Source organism: Homo sapiens, chromosome 11 (genome assembly GCF_000001405.40).
Source record: "Homo sapiens chromosome 11, GRCh38.p14 Primary Assembly".
NCBI classification, from domain to species: domain Eukaryota; kingdom Metazoa; phylum Chordata; class Mammalia; order Primates; family Hominidae; genus Homo; species Homo sapiens.
This window is the reverse complement of record NC_000011.10, coordinates 78,788,074-78,803,864: the sequence shown is the minus strand read 5'-3', so window position 1 is coordinate 78,803,864 and position 15,791 is coordinate 78,788,074. Positions and strand designations below refer to the sequence as shown.

General features: G+C 44.6%; 1 protein-coding gene across 9 annotated transcripts in view, besides 1 other annotated feature; it reads left to right on the top strand.

Moving 5' to 3' along the window:
* The window catches only part of TENM4 (teneurin transmembrane protein 4), a 788,202-nt gene that overhangs the window by 637,166 nt on the left and 135,245 nt on the right, over positions 1-15,791 (top strand). The window lies entirely within an intron of this gene.
* Positions 1,286-1,787: an enhancer, noted in NCBI's record as "OCT4-NANOG-H3K4me1 hESC enhancer chr11:78513123-78513624 (GRCh37/hg19 assembly coordinates)". NCBI's record gives its function as "activates a minimal SCP1, AML or CMV promoter by ChIP-STARR-seq in primed H9 embryonic stem cells {active_cell/tissue: H9 hESC(primed)}" and the evidence as "EXISTENCE:reporter gene assay evidence [ECO:0000049][PMID:30033119]".

Sequence of the window (15,791 nt, the reverse complement as noted above, 5' to 3'; positions counted from 1 at the left end):
TTTATATAGCTCTGTTTATAGCGATATAATAAATGGTCCTCTTAAAGCTACGCTGGCTTGCATTGTTCATTATGTGGCCACAAAGCTAATTTATGATAGGTATATAACTGCGTCTTGCACTGTTAATCCCTGATGAAACCCCACAGCCTCTGAGGAGGTACGTATAACTTTGGATGAGATTACTAAGTATTCTTTAGTTAGCTCAGTAAACGGAAACAACCGAACTATTAGAAGGGACTTTGAATAGAATTATGAGATCTCCCTTTCCTCAGTCCTGGCTATACCACTCCCCGTAACTGGTGTCAAACACGTATCTGTCCTCATGTGCAAAGGCAAGAGAGAACCATGTGATGAGGAAAGTCCCTGAGTCAGACAGACCTGGGTTCAAATCTTTTTTTGGGGGTTTCAAATCTTGGCCCTGCTACTTACTAATTATAATTTTGGGCAAGTTACTTTACCCTTTGAAGCTATAAAATGGAGATAATGATAGTACCTACCTTCTGGAGTTATAGTGAGAATTATTTAAGAAAATGAAAGGCTGGGCACAGTGGCTCACGCCTGTAATCCCAGCACTTTGGGAGGCCGAGGTGGGTAGATCATGATGTCAAGGAGTTCAAGACCAGCCTGGCCAAGATGGTGAAACCCCGTCTCCACTAAAACTACAAAAATTAGCCGGGCGCAATGACAAGCATCTGTAATCCCAGCTACTCAGGAGGCTGAGGCGGAGAATCTCTTGAACCCGGATGGCAGAGGTTGCAGTGAGCTGAGATCGTGCCACTGTACTCCAGCCTGGGCAACAGAGTGAGACTCCATCTCAAAAAAAAAAAAAGAAAAGAAAAAAAGATTTGGCCCATTATATGAGCTCAATAGTTGTTAGCTGTTGTTATGATGATGATTAAAACACTCATTGGTAGAGCACTTGATATTAACAAAGACATTTGATTATAAGATGGAAGATGAAATCCCTTTCAGAAATATAGATTCTAATTTTTAAATCTCTATCCTATAAATGACTAGAAGGGTCTCATGATTGCCACAAGGCCAGGAATATAAAAGGCAGCTTTAAAAGTATTGTAATAGTGAAAACAATTGGCGTTTGTTGAGTGTCCCATAGCATACAAAGATGTTTCACATGGCAACACACACCCTGCGCAACAGCAGCCCTGTGAGGTTGGGATGACAGGTACGGTATTGCCCCTGTTCCTGTGATGAGGCTAGAGGAGTGGCCGTGACTTGCATGAGCCATGCTGGTGAGGGAGGAAGCTGGGAGTCAAGGCTTGGCCCCACGCTGGGGCAGCCTGCTTTCCAGCACTCTCCACAGGCCACGTTCCTCCTCAGCTGTCACTTCACCTCTGGAAGCTGGTTTGAAGGAGAATGAGGGCATTTCAACTGTTCTCTCTCCTCAGCCCCTGCTGTGCAGGAACTGCTGGCCTGGGTTCCACCCTGCTTCTGCCACATGTTAACCATGCGACCTTGGCAAGAAAGCTCACTTTTCTTGACTTCAGTTTCCTTATCTGAAAAATGGAGATAGTAATAGTACCTGCCTCAGCGGGTTATGTAATCATTAAAGTACATCGTTTTGGTATGCACGTAGAACAGTGTCCGTCATACAGTAAGCACTTAATGTCTTTCTACCACCTCCCTTCCAAGGGCACTTTCATTGAGTGAAAGCTGTTTTAAAGCTATTGAGTTTTTGCAGTGAAGCTATGCAAGGAATGCCTCGTTGCCTGGATTCACTAGAGCCAAGAAACTATCTTTCTGTTTAGGGAGTTAGCTACAGGGCAGCAGAACAGGCACTGGGCTTTTTGGGGGAAGAGTTGCTCCCCACTCGTTGAATGGCTTCATCATGTGGCTTAACCCTCTAACCCTTAATTTTCCCTTAGGTAAAATTACTTTATGGAATCACTGTGAGGATTAGGTGAGGAAATTTGGGCAAAGTAGTTCTTGTAGTATCTGGCACAGCTCACACCCTAGACAAACGGTAGCTCAAGTCATCTTGCTTATGCTGCTTGCTGCCTGGCATGGCAGAGCTGGCACAGACACTGCCCAGTCCCTCCCATCAGGAGCTGCAGGCCAAAGGACAAATCCCAAGTGATCCTTGCACCATCAGCATTGGTTCTGGGTTCTTGGGTTGGTAGAGATGGGCCCCTGCTGCCTGCTGCCTCCTAGGAGGGAACACTGTCTATTCCCTGAGATGAGTGTCTTGCTGTTTGGCACCAAGAACAGGATTTAATGAAAGCAGCTTAAATCAACATGCCCTGCACTCAACAACCAGCCCTGTATTGAAATGTGAGCTGACAAGTTCCTCAGCACTTTGGTTAGGTTTGTGGAAACAGTGAAGTCAGATTTTATACAAGTGTTTACTCAGTTCCCTGGCTTCCTGGCAACTTGGCTTCCAGTCTCGTCTCAGAAATTCCTCTTTCAGTCCAGCCTCATGCATGTGGTCTTCCTTCCTGATAAATCACACGACATAACTGTTGCAACAGATTCTTATGCCCCAGAAGAGCACAGGACATAGGCCCCAGTGGGACTTCACTTCCTGAGTCACTTGTGAGGATGATACTGATCATGGTGGTGGTAGTGATGGTGGGGGAGGTGGCTACTGCTGTTGCTGTTAAACAGATAGAAAAGAGTTGGAAGCGGGGAATGACTGGCCCTAAGTGACTCAGCTTACCTGAGGCAGTTTGAATTAAATCCAGGCCCTTTGTTCCCAAGTCCTCAGCTCTTGCCTCATGCCCCCTTTCTATCCAAAGAGGTGTTCATGTTGCCATTCTTATCTCTCTTTCTGACAAGCCACAGGATAGAGTAACAAAGAGCCATCCATTTCTTAGTATTTAGCATGTACCAGGCACTGAACTAAGTCCTTTACAACCTTATCTTAGCTAAGGTTCATAAGAACCCTGGGAAGGAAGTATTACTAGTATTACCATTTCCAGATAAGGAAACTGAAGCTCAGAAAGATTAAATTACATACTGGCATCCCTTTTCTCCCCCAACCCTCACCCGACTCATAAGTGGCGGAGTCCAGATTCAAACCACATCTGGCTCCAAGGTCTCTCCTAAACACTATGTTATATTGACTGATGTATTCTAATCAATCTCTCTCTCTCTCTCTCTCTCTCTCTCTCCCCTGTGAACTCTGTGAGGTCAGGGCCTATAAGTATCCCTAGCATAGGGACAAACATACATTAGGTTCTTGGTGATTATTGCATGAATGACTTAACCAGTGAATAGTCAAAGAAAGAAAAAGAGCCCCCTGGAAACACAGGGAAGAGAGGGGCTGCAGCCGAAAGCTCTGTCCAGGAAGATCCCAGCACACTACCCGACAGCGAACCTAATCCCTTCTCTCAGGACTCCACCTCCTCCCCACCTCCTCATAAACCCCTTCCCTCCCACTCCCCACACAGTGTGCTGGGCTAACACCAAATCTCTGTGCTCCTTGTCTGTCACTTCCCAGACCTAGATCATGTTAGTTTCATGCGCAGTGCCAGCCAGCCAGAAGCCCTCCTGGACAAGAGCTGGCATCATTTCACCTCCTTCAAGCCATCTTCCCTAGGGAGCAGGCCTGCTGGGCTGAATGCCTCATCAACTTTTGCATAAAGTGGGTACACTCAGCAGCACTGCTGAGCAGAACAACTCCTCCCATCTCCCCTTCCTTGTGCTTTAGTTGGCTTTTCACCCTCTTGGCTCAGAGCTGTCTCAGAAAAGGGAAAGAATTTAATCTCTTTGAGATGGTCCTTAGAATTGGAAAGGCTCACCTTTCTTTCAGAGCTTAATGGCTTCTAAAGATTTTAGCCTCTGTGGCATTTTCCATGGTACGCTTTCAAAAGCCATCCCTTAGACTCATCATTTGTCCCTGTTGGTTCTCCCTCAGGTCTTCCTTCCCCACCCTTACCCCCATAGCCTCTCTCCTCAGCCTCATAAATTTATTCCTCATTTCCACTGCTATATGAGCTCTCTCCAGTCTTGTCTCCCATAAATGACTTTTATTTGAGAGGGCCCTCTCCCTATATTTTATTCCTTAGGGTTGCTGGCTCACAGAAGCAATACATGGCAGAGATTTTGCCTGTAAAATGCTCATGCTGCGGGTTTATGATTCTTATCATTTGATTGCAATTGAGTTTTGTGGAATAACAGGTGGAGATGTTTTAGAGATTCAGTGGCACAGGTTTGGAGGTAACACGTGCAGTCAGCAAGAATTGCATGAAATTTGGAGTAGGACCAGGCTAGATTTTCAACACTAAGCTTAAGCATAGACTATGGCTAATGACACCTGCCTTGCAGGGTTGTTTTCCAAATCAGATTTCACATGTATATGGTGGCTGCATTCAGTAAGCAGTCAATAAATGAAGTAGTTTTATATAGTTTTAGAATGCATGATTAGATTTAAGTTATCCAAACAGTCCTTAGACTCTAACAAGTGTAATTCTTAGGACAGTTTATACAGTGAAGGTTTGGAGCCAGAAGGCCTGGACCTGAATCTGTGTAACCGTAAACAACTCACTTGCTCTCTCAGAGGCGCAGTTTCCTTGCAGTTTCTGAATCTCTCTACCATCCCCTTTCCCCAGCCCCAACACTGGTCATTGACTCTAGATGAAGAGTCATTATCTAGATCATTGTCTAGATGAAGAGTCAGATAAAAGCTGACACATTAACCCCAAACAACTAGGTCAGTGGCCCACAGCACAAGGGAGTTAGGGTCAGCCTCCTCTCAGCATCACAAGCTTCCTGAGGTCCATTCCAGAGAAGAGCACAACCTCCTCAGAGAGAGCACCCCACAGTAGCTCCAGACCTGCTCCCACGCTGACACATTCACTGCATTCATTCACTGAATCTTTCTGGCCTATCCTGTGTGCTGGGCATTCACTGTTTTAGGCACCGAGGATCAGACAGCCCCACAGCCTGGTCAGGAAATGAGACGCCTAATTATTCAGCATGAGCAGAGCTCTGATTGTTGTGTGTACAGTAGGGTTTGGGAGCACAAAAGCAGAAGCAGTGAACTTGGCCAGTAATGGGATGGGAGAGGAAATGGAGAAGGTTGTCACCAGCCAGAGATCTGTGAGCCAGACCCTGAAAGGGGACTGAAGGGAGGCCCCCTGGTGGCCAAGGAGGAGAGGGCAGTGCAGGCCAAGGGAACAGCGTGTGCACAAGTAGAGAGCATGCATGATCAGCTGGACAGTCGCGGCTCAGTCCAGCTGGAGATAGAAGCTGCAGGGGTGGGTGGCAGGAAAGAAGGCCAGAGGTAGGCAGGATCCAAACCTCGGAGCCCGCTGAATGCTGTGCCGAAAATCTTGGCTTAAAATAATTGTCAATGAACATTGACTGTTGCCCTTTCAGACTCCACATCAGATCTCTTTCTTTGGCTCTCTCAACTCAATCTGGCCTAGATTCTACCTTAACACAGTGGAACCCTCCAGAATTCACACTCAGATCCTCTAAGCTTTCAGTTTATTCTCTATTAATCTCCTCCCCTACCCAAAGGGAAAGAGAATCACAAAGCATAAATAATAACAATAACGACTAGATGGATATGGCGCTGAAAAGCCCTGTTATCAAATTAGGTCACAATCGACAGCAAAATAAACTCAATGCTTTAACAAAAATAAGCTTAAAGTAGCAACCGGGTTAAAATAATTAAAGCTCTAAACATAGCAGTTGCACTAGAGCTAAATTCAATTTTATTTACGAGGCAAAATATAATTACATTTAAATTTGAGGGAACAGAATTTAATTCTTATTAATGACAGAAAGACTGAGTGAGATGCTTTAATGCCAGAGAAATTGTCTTATGTTCATGGATGGGAGAGAAAATTAGATTCAGCATTGAGCATTCTCCCCTGTTACAAGTCTCATTTGTGTAGCTAGAATTGTTCCTTCTCTGAGAAGCATTAGCTTCTCAGTCCAGAAAGCACAGCACCAACATCCAATTAAACATCAAAAGGAAACAATCAAGTTAGGCTATTTCTGTATAGGCATGTTATAGGAGGGGAAACTCAAGGTTAGAATCTCTCCAGAGGAATAATATCCATTGAGACTTGACATTTCCTGTACCCCTTCCCAACAGCAAGTGATAGCCTGAAATCAAAGTTCAGAATAATAAATATCCAGGAGATTGACAGTGGCATAGAGAGGAAGGGAAGTGTCAGAGGGCGGCACGGAAGAGCCTCCCAGTTGCCTGGGAGGTAGTGTGGCGGTTTAGACACAATGAGATGGTCAGTTCCTAACATTTAATCAAAGACTGGAAAATTGGGCCCAGACAAGCATGCTGCTAAATACTGCCAGAGTTAAAGGTTGATAAACCAAGAGCTGGCAGATTTGTAATTTAGTAGAATTTCCCCTGACAGCCCTGGAACGTTTTCTATCAGAATTGGATCTCTTCAGTATGCAAATATAAGCCCTTCTGAAATTGGGCTTCAGAATGAAGTTTCTATTTGGATGCCCAAGCTGATATCTTGTACAAAATCTCTAGTTGTCTTCCTGAATCAAACTGCTGTTATTATAACTTGTAATCTTAAAAAAAAACTGTTCTTTCAATGGAAATTTTATATTTTACAGAGCTCCTTCATGTACGTGCTTCATGACTTATTCAAACAGCAAATACATTAACCTCTGACATTGCAGATGGTGTTACTCCCAGGAAACCAGGGTCCAGAGAACTTGCGTGACTTGCTCAAAGACACTCTGAGAAAACAATGATTCACTTCCAGGCTTCTCTGGCTTCAGAGCCCATGTTTATCCTCTGCACAACTCTGCCATTGGCTATTACCAAGGTTTGTGCTGAAACTGCCAGTAAATCAGGTATCAGGTTTTGGATAGCACTTCATTTAGTAACACTGCCAGAGGAACCATGTAAATTGGATCATGACTTTGGTGTACTAATATTACTACAAGGGTTTCAGAAAAAGAACAATTGCTCTCAACCAATGGTCAGGGAAGCTTCTTGGAGGAAGTGGAATTCAAGGTGGTGGTGGAGGTTGGATATGAGTAGGTAGTGATAAAAGGAAGAGGCAAGCACCTTGCAACAGCCAATTGTAGAAGTCAAAGATTTGCAACATATACAAAGATGGGAGATCAAGGCATTTTCTAGGAAAGATGAGTAGCTTGAAGTGGCTTAGCTTTTAGGATATTTGTGGCAGTAGTGAGAGGGGGAAAAGATGAGGAAAGCCAGCATGAATAATCTTGAAGGAGTTTAGGTTTTTTCTGTCTTTGGGAGCCACTGAGAAGTTTTAGGCGGAGGTGTGACAAGGTCAGGTTTGGTTTTAGAAACCTACTCTATTGTCAGCATACAGTTGGAGGTTCTTGGGGGACAGCCAGGTGGAAGTGTCCAGGAAAGAGTTAGATAGATGAGCTTATGACTGAGTGGAGAAATGAGCCTTTTACAAAAGGTTATTAGGGTCAGAGGTCATTAGGAAGAGAGTGTAACATCAGCTGTCTCTTCATTTCACCCAGTTGGGCCCTTTTAGTGGGGGTCAGGTTGTGTTCCAGTCCTGGCCGAAAATACACATCCCAGTCTCGTTATTTGGCTTCCTTGCTCACTAGTTCTTTCCTGACTTGTTATCCTTCTGCAAAGTCAGCTCCTATTTGGAGGCCTCCTCCAAGCTGGGTTTGAACTCCTCTAATCAGGAAGCCAGATACTCTCCAATTAAGAGGAATAGCAGTGGCTTACTGCTTCCTGTGGTAGGTGCTTTGTAAAGACTTGAAAATCTAGTCCTGGGGGAATAGATGTGGAGACCTGCTCTGCACCCACATACTGGAATCCACTTTTCTGCTTGGTTTGAAAGCTCTCCAAGCTCCTTGAATGAGGTGAAAGGCCGTGTGGTTTCCAAGGCTCATTAACTTTCCGCCATCTCGATCCGTGGAACAGAGCCATGGCTTGAAGCAGCTCTGACTCTCGGGTGATAGGGAGGGAAGTTGAAAAGCACAGGAGAGTAGCTTGGGTTTGGCCTCAATGTCTAAAGGAGACTAATTACTGTAAGGAAGTCAGAGGTTCCTTTGCTGTACCTTCTTCCCCTTCTGGCTTCTTCCTGAAACCTGCACTGAGACTGAAAGCCATCTGTCCAACTTAGTGAGGGAGGCAGGGAGACAGCGTGGGTGCCATACTTTCAGAATGCTAATTTGTACAAAATATATGGAGATCTGGTCTGTGGGAGAAAAAGCTAACTTTTAATTAGCCTACTGTGTGCTGGGCATGGTGGCTGGCATTGTGCACATTTACACACATAGGCAGACTTGAGTTTCTTGTGGATACGAATAATTTCATATAATCTCGTATCCTCAGCCCCTAGGCCTATCTGTCACATAGTAGATGCTCAGTATATTTTTAAATCTGTTTTAAAACTCTGATAGATAGATATCATTATCACCATTTTATAAATGACAAAAATAAGGCTCAAAGGTGTGCAGTATTTGTTTCACATAGCTAGGAAGTAGCAGAGCAGGCTCTTACCTGATTCCAAGCCTCTTCTCTGAAAAATCACAGAATCTTGAACAGTTACGTGAGCACTCTGTCCTGTACCACTGGAATCTGGCAATACAGATACAGTCAGAAGACATGTTTCCTGTGTAAGACTCACTAGGGAATGCAGAGATTAATTTGATGATGGCAGGGTTCTCTAGACAACTCAGGTAGACTAATAACCCTGAGAAAGGGAGATCCACGTAAAAGTGCTTTGGGAAGGCAGAAGGTGAAACTCCTTCCAGCTGCCGGGAGGGGGTTTCAAGGAGGAGGTGGCATTGGAGCCAGAACTCAAAGCACATTTAGATTTGAATACATGAAGATCACGGTAAAGGAGCCCAGACTATGGAAATGGCCCAGGCAGAAGCACAGAAGAAGGCCCAAAGAGCGCAGCGACCACCATCTGGCAGCTACTTGTCCAGCTGCCCCCTTACATTGACTGTTTGCCAAGGCAGCCAGCAAGTTCCTACTCAAGTACTGACATGCATGTCACTGTGTGGCATAGGATAAGGTACTTCCTAGATGGGCCCTAGTTTTCCCATCTAGAGAATTCTTTTCTAACCATAAAGCCTGCTCCTCTAGTTTTGCTCTTTTTCTTCCTTGACACTAATCCACCTAAAGGAAATGTCCTGGCCAGAACCAGGCCACTTCCTACCCAGTGCCAGTTCTCTCCTGGCTCAATCTCCTTCTACATTTTCTGCTCTTCCGCTGGTCCATCACTCACAGCTCCCTGGTCTCTGTGCCTTTATTCCACATCCACCTTGCAAAACCCAGGATCATTTTAACCATTCACCACTTCTGATCTCAAAGCTGTGCTTCTGAATGCCACTAAGCCAAATCACATCATGCTCCTGATCTTTAGCCTCTCCTGGGCCCTCCCAGCTGCAGTTCTTGTACTTTGTGAGTTCTCGCTCTCATTCGCCAGGGGGCTGTTTCAAATGTTCACATCTATTCACCAGCACCCTGCTCCAGGGAGATTCCCGCCTCCTACCTCACGGAGAACGCTGAGGCCAATAGTTTAGTGCTGCCCCATTATCCTGCCTGCTTCCCATACAGACTGTGTCCCACATGACTCTGTCTGATCCCTCTACCCAGAGGGTGAAGTACCCACTATGCCCGTTCCTCTGATTGTGCTTCGGAAACAGTCCTCTCTACCTGTTGAAAGGCACCTCAGCTGAGCATCCCCTTGCTCCCTCCAGTATCTTCAACCCCTCCTTTCCCTGATGCTTTCCAGCACATAAACATGAAATAGTTGGGACACTTAGATGGCCTGGTGACACACAGCTGGTTAGGTGATTACACATTTGGGTGGATGGACAGATAGATGGGCTGATGGATGAGCAGACAGTTGGATGGAGGATGAACAGACGGATAAACAGACAAACAAAAGGAAAAGTGCTTAACACAGTCAGCATTGGGTTGAGGTGAGGAAGGAAACTGAAAACACTGATTCCAGAGATCTTATAGTCTAGCTGGGGCTATGATCTAAGATGTAATTAACAATCAGGGGATACACTCATATGGCATCTGAGGTATTGTCTAAACCTGATCCCACAACTCATAGGCCAAAAATCATGTGAATCACAGTCACCTTTCATTTCTAGCTAAGTACCTTTGAGCACTTAATGTCTCCAAGCTGTTTCCTCAACTATGATATGGGAGTGAAAGCATCATTGCAGGACTATTGAGAGAATTTAATGAGTTAATATTTGTGTTCCAACAACAACAGTTGCAGTTCTGGAACATTGAAGGTACTTCATTTTCTTATTTTTGCCTCAAATGCTGACTATTAATGGTTTGGCTTGGACTTTAAGTATGCCAGAATTTCTGATAAACTCCCCCACTTGTGCAGTAACTCAGATGAGCTAGTGATAAAACAAAAAATCGTGGCAGGAATCATTTAAAATTAACCCTCTATTAAAATTTCTTAAGGTCACTCTTGGAATCTCAGGTCCTCAGCAAAATAGAACAATTATACTTATTACCTCTTCTAGTGCTAAATGCAGACTTATGAAAGGACTTCCCAGGAGGTCCCGGGGAGCAAGACTCTGTTTCCACATGACTGGAATTTTAGAAACAGCTTCATTTGCACCTGTTCCTTGCTCAGCAGGAAGGCGTGCAGATCTTTGGGCGGGGGCCCTTCTACCCCCTACTTGTATCAGTTTTGAGCATCTTTCCAAGTAGAAGAAATTTTGTGGGAAAATTGTGCATAAGTCTTTCCCTTTCGGAGAAAGGCACAGCTTCCCCTACCAGCTATTTTAATGAACAGGATTGTAAAGTAAGTCCAGACAAATTAAAACGTAGCAGCGATAGGTCCCAGGCTTCATCTGGGCTTGCACGGGGATTAACATCTAATGAGACGAGCCTGGGGCAGCTTTTCCTGTACATATACATTTTTTGACATAATTAACCAAGAGCCAAACCTTGTGTCTTTTCCCTGCTCTTTCGCCTCTTCCTCGTGTGTTCACCCCCTTCCACATCATAGAAAGAGAACAAGTGTGACTTGGGCATTAGCATGAAGAAGATGTGTCTGTGGGTGTAAGGACTGAGGCATTGTTTTAAATTACAGAGTTCACACACAGAGATTGGAGAAAATGAGTTTCTAAGAAGCTTAGGCACAAAGGACACTGAGCCTCTACATAATATATTTAACAAAATAACCTGTGTACAACGTGGCACTGAGATAGAGTCGCATCAACCGACATACACCTCTTCCATTAAAGCTTTTTTCATTCATCTATTCTTTCAACAAACATTTGTTGAAAGCCATGCTGGGCCACACCTGGTGCTAGTGCCAGGGGACCACATTGATCTTCCCATCAGGTGGGCTTCCAATCTAGAGAGAGGACAGTGCACGGGTGAGGCAGGGAAGAGGTGGGGTAGGGAAAGGGTGGTGCTATGGGTTTGACTTTCTGTAGGGGAAGAGCTCACGTGTTGCCAGGTTCATCTCCAAGGGCCTGTACAGTTCAATCAAGAACTCTGTAAGCTTGGAATAGGAATTTTTGGACAGTTGGAGATTTTCCTCTGATTTTGAGAGGAAGTCCAGGCTACAAATACAAATGGCTTCTACCTAGGTTTTGATACTCTTGGCTGATGATGCCATGCTAGGTGACCAGAGGAAGAGCATGCTTTTCTAGTAGTAGCCCCAAAGTTTGAGACCACTACTAGAAAAGCAAATATTTCATTCTTCAGGAACACATTCCTCTGCTGGGTTACTTGGAGCTGTGCTGATGGAATCATCTTAGGTCCTCATCAATTAGTCATACACAGCATAGTGTACACAGAGCTTTTCATATAAACTATTTTCTTCAGTTGTCACCACTCATCCTAGAGGGGGACCATTATTACTCTCCTCATTTTAGGGGTAAAGAATTATGTCTCAGAGAGATTAAGTTCCCCAAGTACCCACAGCTAGGAAACTGGGGAGTCAGAATCTGAACTCAAGTCTCCTCTATGGCTTGTGTACTCCTAGTACTTCAAAAGATTCCTCCCAGACCCCAGCCCTCCTCCATTAATTCAGAAAGCTCTGATGTTGGTCATGTGAAAGCCAACTAGCATTTATCAAACCCTCCCTTGTTATTGGGTATGTTGCAAACGTCAGAATTCATATCTGGTCTTCTAAGTTTAGTCTAGTGTACTTGCCACTACATCTCCTTTCTCATAAAAATGTGTGTATTTATTATATCCTGAATATGTGCCAGGCACTATGTTAGAAGCTATACTTTTGTTCATGCTAAATTGATTTAGGTTATATCTGTCTGCCATGCTAGAATGTAAACTCCTTGAGGTCAAGGAAAAATTCATGCCTGTCATAATCACCATGGGATCTCCAGTGCCCACTGTGGGGCTTGCACACAGGGAGCACCCAAGAAATCAACCAAATGAAAGTAATTCCTACAGCAGTCCTCCAAAGTATAGTAGTTGACGTCATCCCTGTTTTACATAAGGGAACTTGTGACTAGGAGAGGAGCTGTAACCCACATTTCACAAAGGACCACTTACATTATGTAAAAGACATATGAGCTGTCAAAGCACATTCTTTAGCATAGTCCTGTTTAGCTTTCACTAGCCACTTCAGGAAATTTTATCTGCTTTAATGTCAAAGCAGAATCTGAGAAGGAAAAATAAAACAGTTCCTTTTGTTTCAAGGTATTTGAAAATAAGAAAAAAAGAAACAATAGGGACTATGACTTGAGGCCAAATGGTAAAGTAGCATCACAGGTTTCTACTCTCATCTTGAGTCTGTGGGTCTCTTCACTCAGTCAGATGGGCCCATCTGCAGAGAATCCAAGCACTCCCAAGCTGTATTACCTTCAGTTAGCACCCCATAAACATCAAGGGCCCTTCCATTAAAATGTGTAAGAGCTCACAACCCAGCTTGTAAAGGGCTGGTGGAGGAGTGCCCAGTCACCAGGCCACTTTAACTTCATGCCAGGAGAGCATGTCTAGTGTAAACTGGCAAGGAAGTTGAGTGTTTGGATGGACAGAGCAGTAGTCTCCAGATGGGAAGGGTGAGACTAAGTGCCTGGGAAACTCTGTGTAGAGGACCTCATTTCATTTCACATATATCAGGGTCTGACTTGGATATAACAAAGGATAAGCAGGGCCAGGAGTGGCAGGAGGTGGGGATCTGCTGGAAAAGCTGAGAGTTTCTCTCAAAGGGAAGCCCACCTGTGACAGGTCAGTGTTCCTTGCCTGTTCTGAGGCTTCGTTTCCTTATCTGTGAAATGTCTGCCTTGAAGTACTGTTCCAAGGATTGTCAAAACAATGAAAAGACACTAGATGATCACATGACCTCATAGAATGTTCTCATACTATCTGGGCCTCAGTACCCACACCACTAAGAAGGATAATAGCCAGGCATTTTCACAGCCTTGTTGTGATAGTTCAATGAGAAATTGTCCATGAAGAGTGCTTTGCAAACTGTAAAACTTGATGTGAGCATTAGTTAAATAAAAAATGGCTTTCCCACATATTACCTCATTTGATCTAACACCAACCCTGTGAAATTGGTGAAGTGGGAATTATCAACCCCATTTTACAGAAATGGAAAGCAAGGCTCAATGAATTGCATAATTGGCAGCTTGCAGATTACCCAGCCAGTAAGTGGTAAAGCCATAGGCAGATCAGACTTGTCTGACCCTAAGTTCCATGTTCTTTAATTCATTGTACATAGCAAAAAGGTGCAGGCATGAGTCATAGCTATAGATTATTTGGATAATCTTTTGAATGCCAATATTAGTTTGTGCTTTATCTGGACTGAGATCTCCTGGGGGGCAGAGATTATATCTTATTGACCTCTGTATTTCTAGCACCAGGTACAGTCTCTGGCATATAGTAGGCATGTGTGGATATTATTAGAAGAATACATGAATTAGTATGAATTGATTGATACCTACTATATATAAGGTAGGAAGAAGCCTCTGAAGTGGTTGTCATCATCATTGCCACTTTGCAGAGGAAGAAAAGGAAGCTTACAGCTATTGAGTAGGTCATAGAGCAGGCAAAACTGAGATCTGGAATCACATCTGATTCCAAGTCTTACTGTCTTTTGTCCGTACTGTCTCCAGGTGACTTAATAAAGGAATGAAGTACATTTTAGCTAAGACCTGAAGTCTGGAAGTTCATTGTGGGGAAAAGCCTGCCTCTTCTCTTGGTCCCTGATGGGCTCCATGTGCTCTGCTGCCTGAAAACACCATGGCTTTGGCCCCAGCAGCCCGCCCCTCTCCTGGCTCACACCTCAGTGAATAGTATGCTTTCTGCTGTTTACTTTCACACCATAAACCACCACCTGGCAAAAGTGCTGAGTAAACCCAAACAAATACTAAGCTGATTTTTCATCTCTCCAAGGGCCCTCAAGGGAAAGTTCCAGCCCTGACCCCAGGCCCAGCCTCCAGAGTCACCAGGAAGTCATTGCCCTTTCAATGTTGTACAGAAGAAATGGGAATTACAGAGACAGGACCTAGGATATCCTGGGGCCTGGAGATTGTCATTCTTTATCTTGAGGCAAGCCCAAGTGTTTGTCTATGTGAGCAAGAAAGGAAAAGAGCTTGAACAACATCCTAGGGGGCTGCTTGACATAGCTCCGCAGCCCTGTCCTCACGTGGGACAGTCTCATACAGGCAGGTCGCTAGAGAGAAACAGACAGGTGGGCCTGGTTGGACTTTTCAGCCAGGCTAAGTGGGGTGTGGTGAATGTTTACCATTCTCAGGCACCTATAGCCCCAGGCATACCGTAATTCATCCATCATCCAACAAACCTTAGTAAGAGGTCTATTCTATACCAGGATCTGTGCTTGGTACCCGGGATGGAGGTGATCAAAGGAATTAGACCAGCCTCGGGTTCCTAGTCTGATGATAAGACAGACAAAGAAACAGAAAACCACTCTACCATGTAAAAATGGGAAGGAAAGAAACAAGTGAATAACCCACAGGGTGAATTACAGGAGATTTCTCAGAGGAGGGGGTGCTTTTCAGCCAGGTCTTGGGGGTAGATTACACTGTCTAACAGGGAGGGTGCTCTGTCATAGAATCCCACATTCTTACAGCCTGAAGGGATCTTAAATACCATTAGGTTCCACCTGCAACAGATGAGGAAACTGACACCCAGAAGAGAGGAAGTGACCTCCCCAAAGCCACACAGTAGATTAGTGGCTGAGCAGGTATAGATCTCACAAACCTCCTAGACTCCCTGTCTGAAGTTCACTGTGCTGACCTCAATTCAGGAAACCTTTCTTGAGTTGCTTGATCTTTGTCATGCCTTTTTGTCATCCACTTCACTGGGTGCTCGCCAGAGCCCAGTTAGGTCAGCAAAGGGCTGCTGCAAGGCAGCATCATGCAGCTCACACTCTCCAGACAAGGAACTGTCTGACAGGACCAGGAACTCTCCAGACAGGAACCGTAGCTCAGTGAAGTCAAGGGACCTGCCCCAGGTCACACAGCTCAGAAGCTCCTGAGCCTGGCATAGGATCCAGGTCCCTGGCTCCAGGTCAGAGATGTCCCTTCCCACTTTACAGCTGAAGAATCTGATGTGTTACTGCACGTAATAAGTACCTCCCTTTTGAGGTAATGTGCTTGGCAGGATGTCTGGCACAGGAACACAACATACATGGGGACTCGTACTATTTGTTAAATTCTCAAACATTTTATTCATTGTCTTGTAGATTGGTAGGAAGGTCTGAGCCTCTGAGACCTAATTTTGTTTTCTTTTCTTTTTCAAAGTAGCTAAGATTATTAGCAGCTTCTAAACTAAGCATGCAGTTTGGAAGGGAGATGAGCAAATGCACCTTGACAGAGGTGCCAGCTAATTTAGTTTGAAAGAAATGAAAAGGATTGAG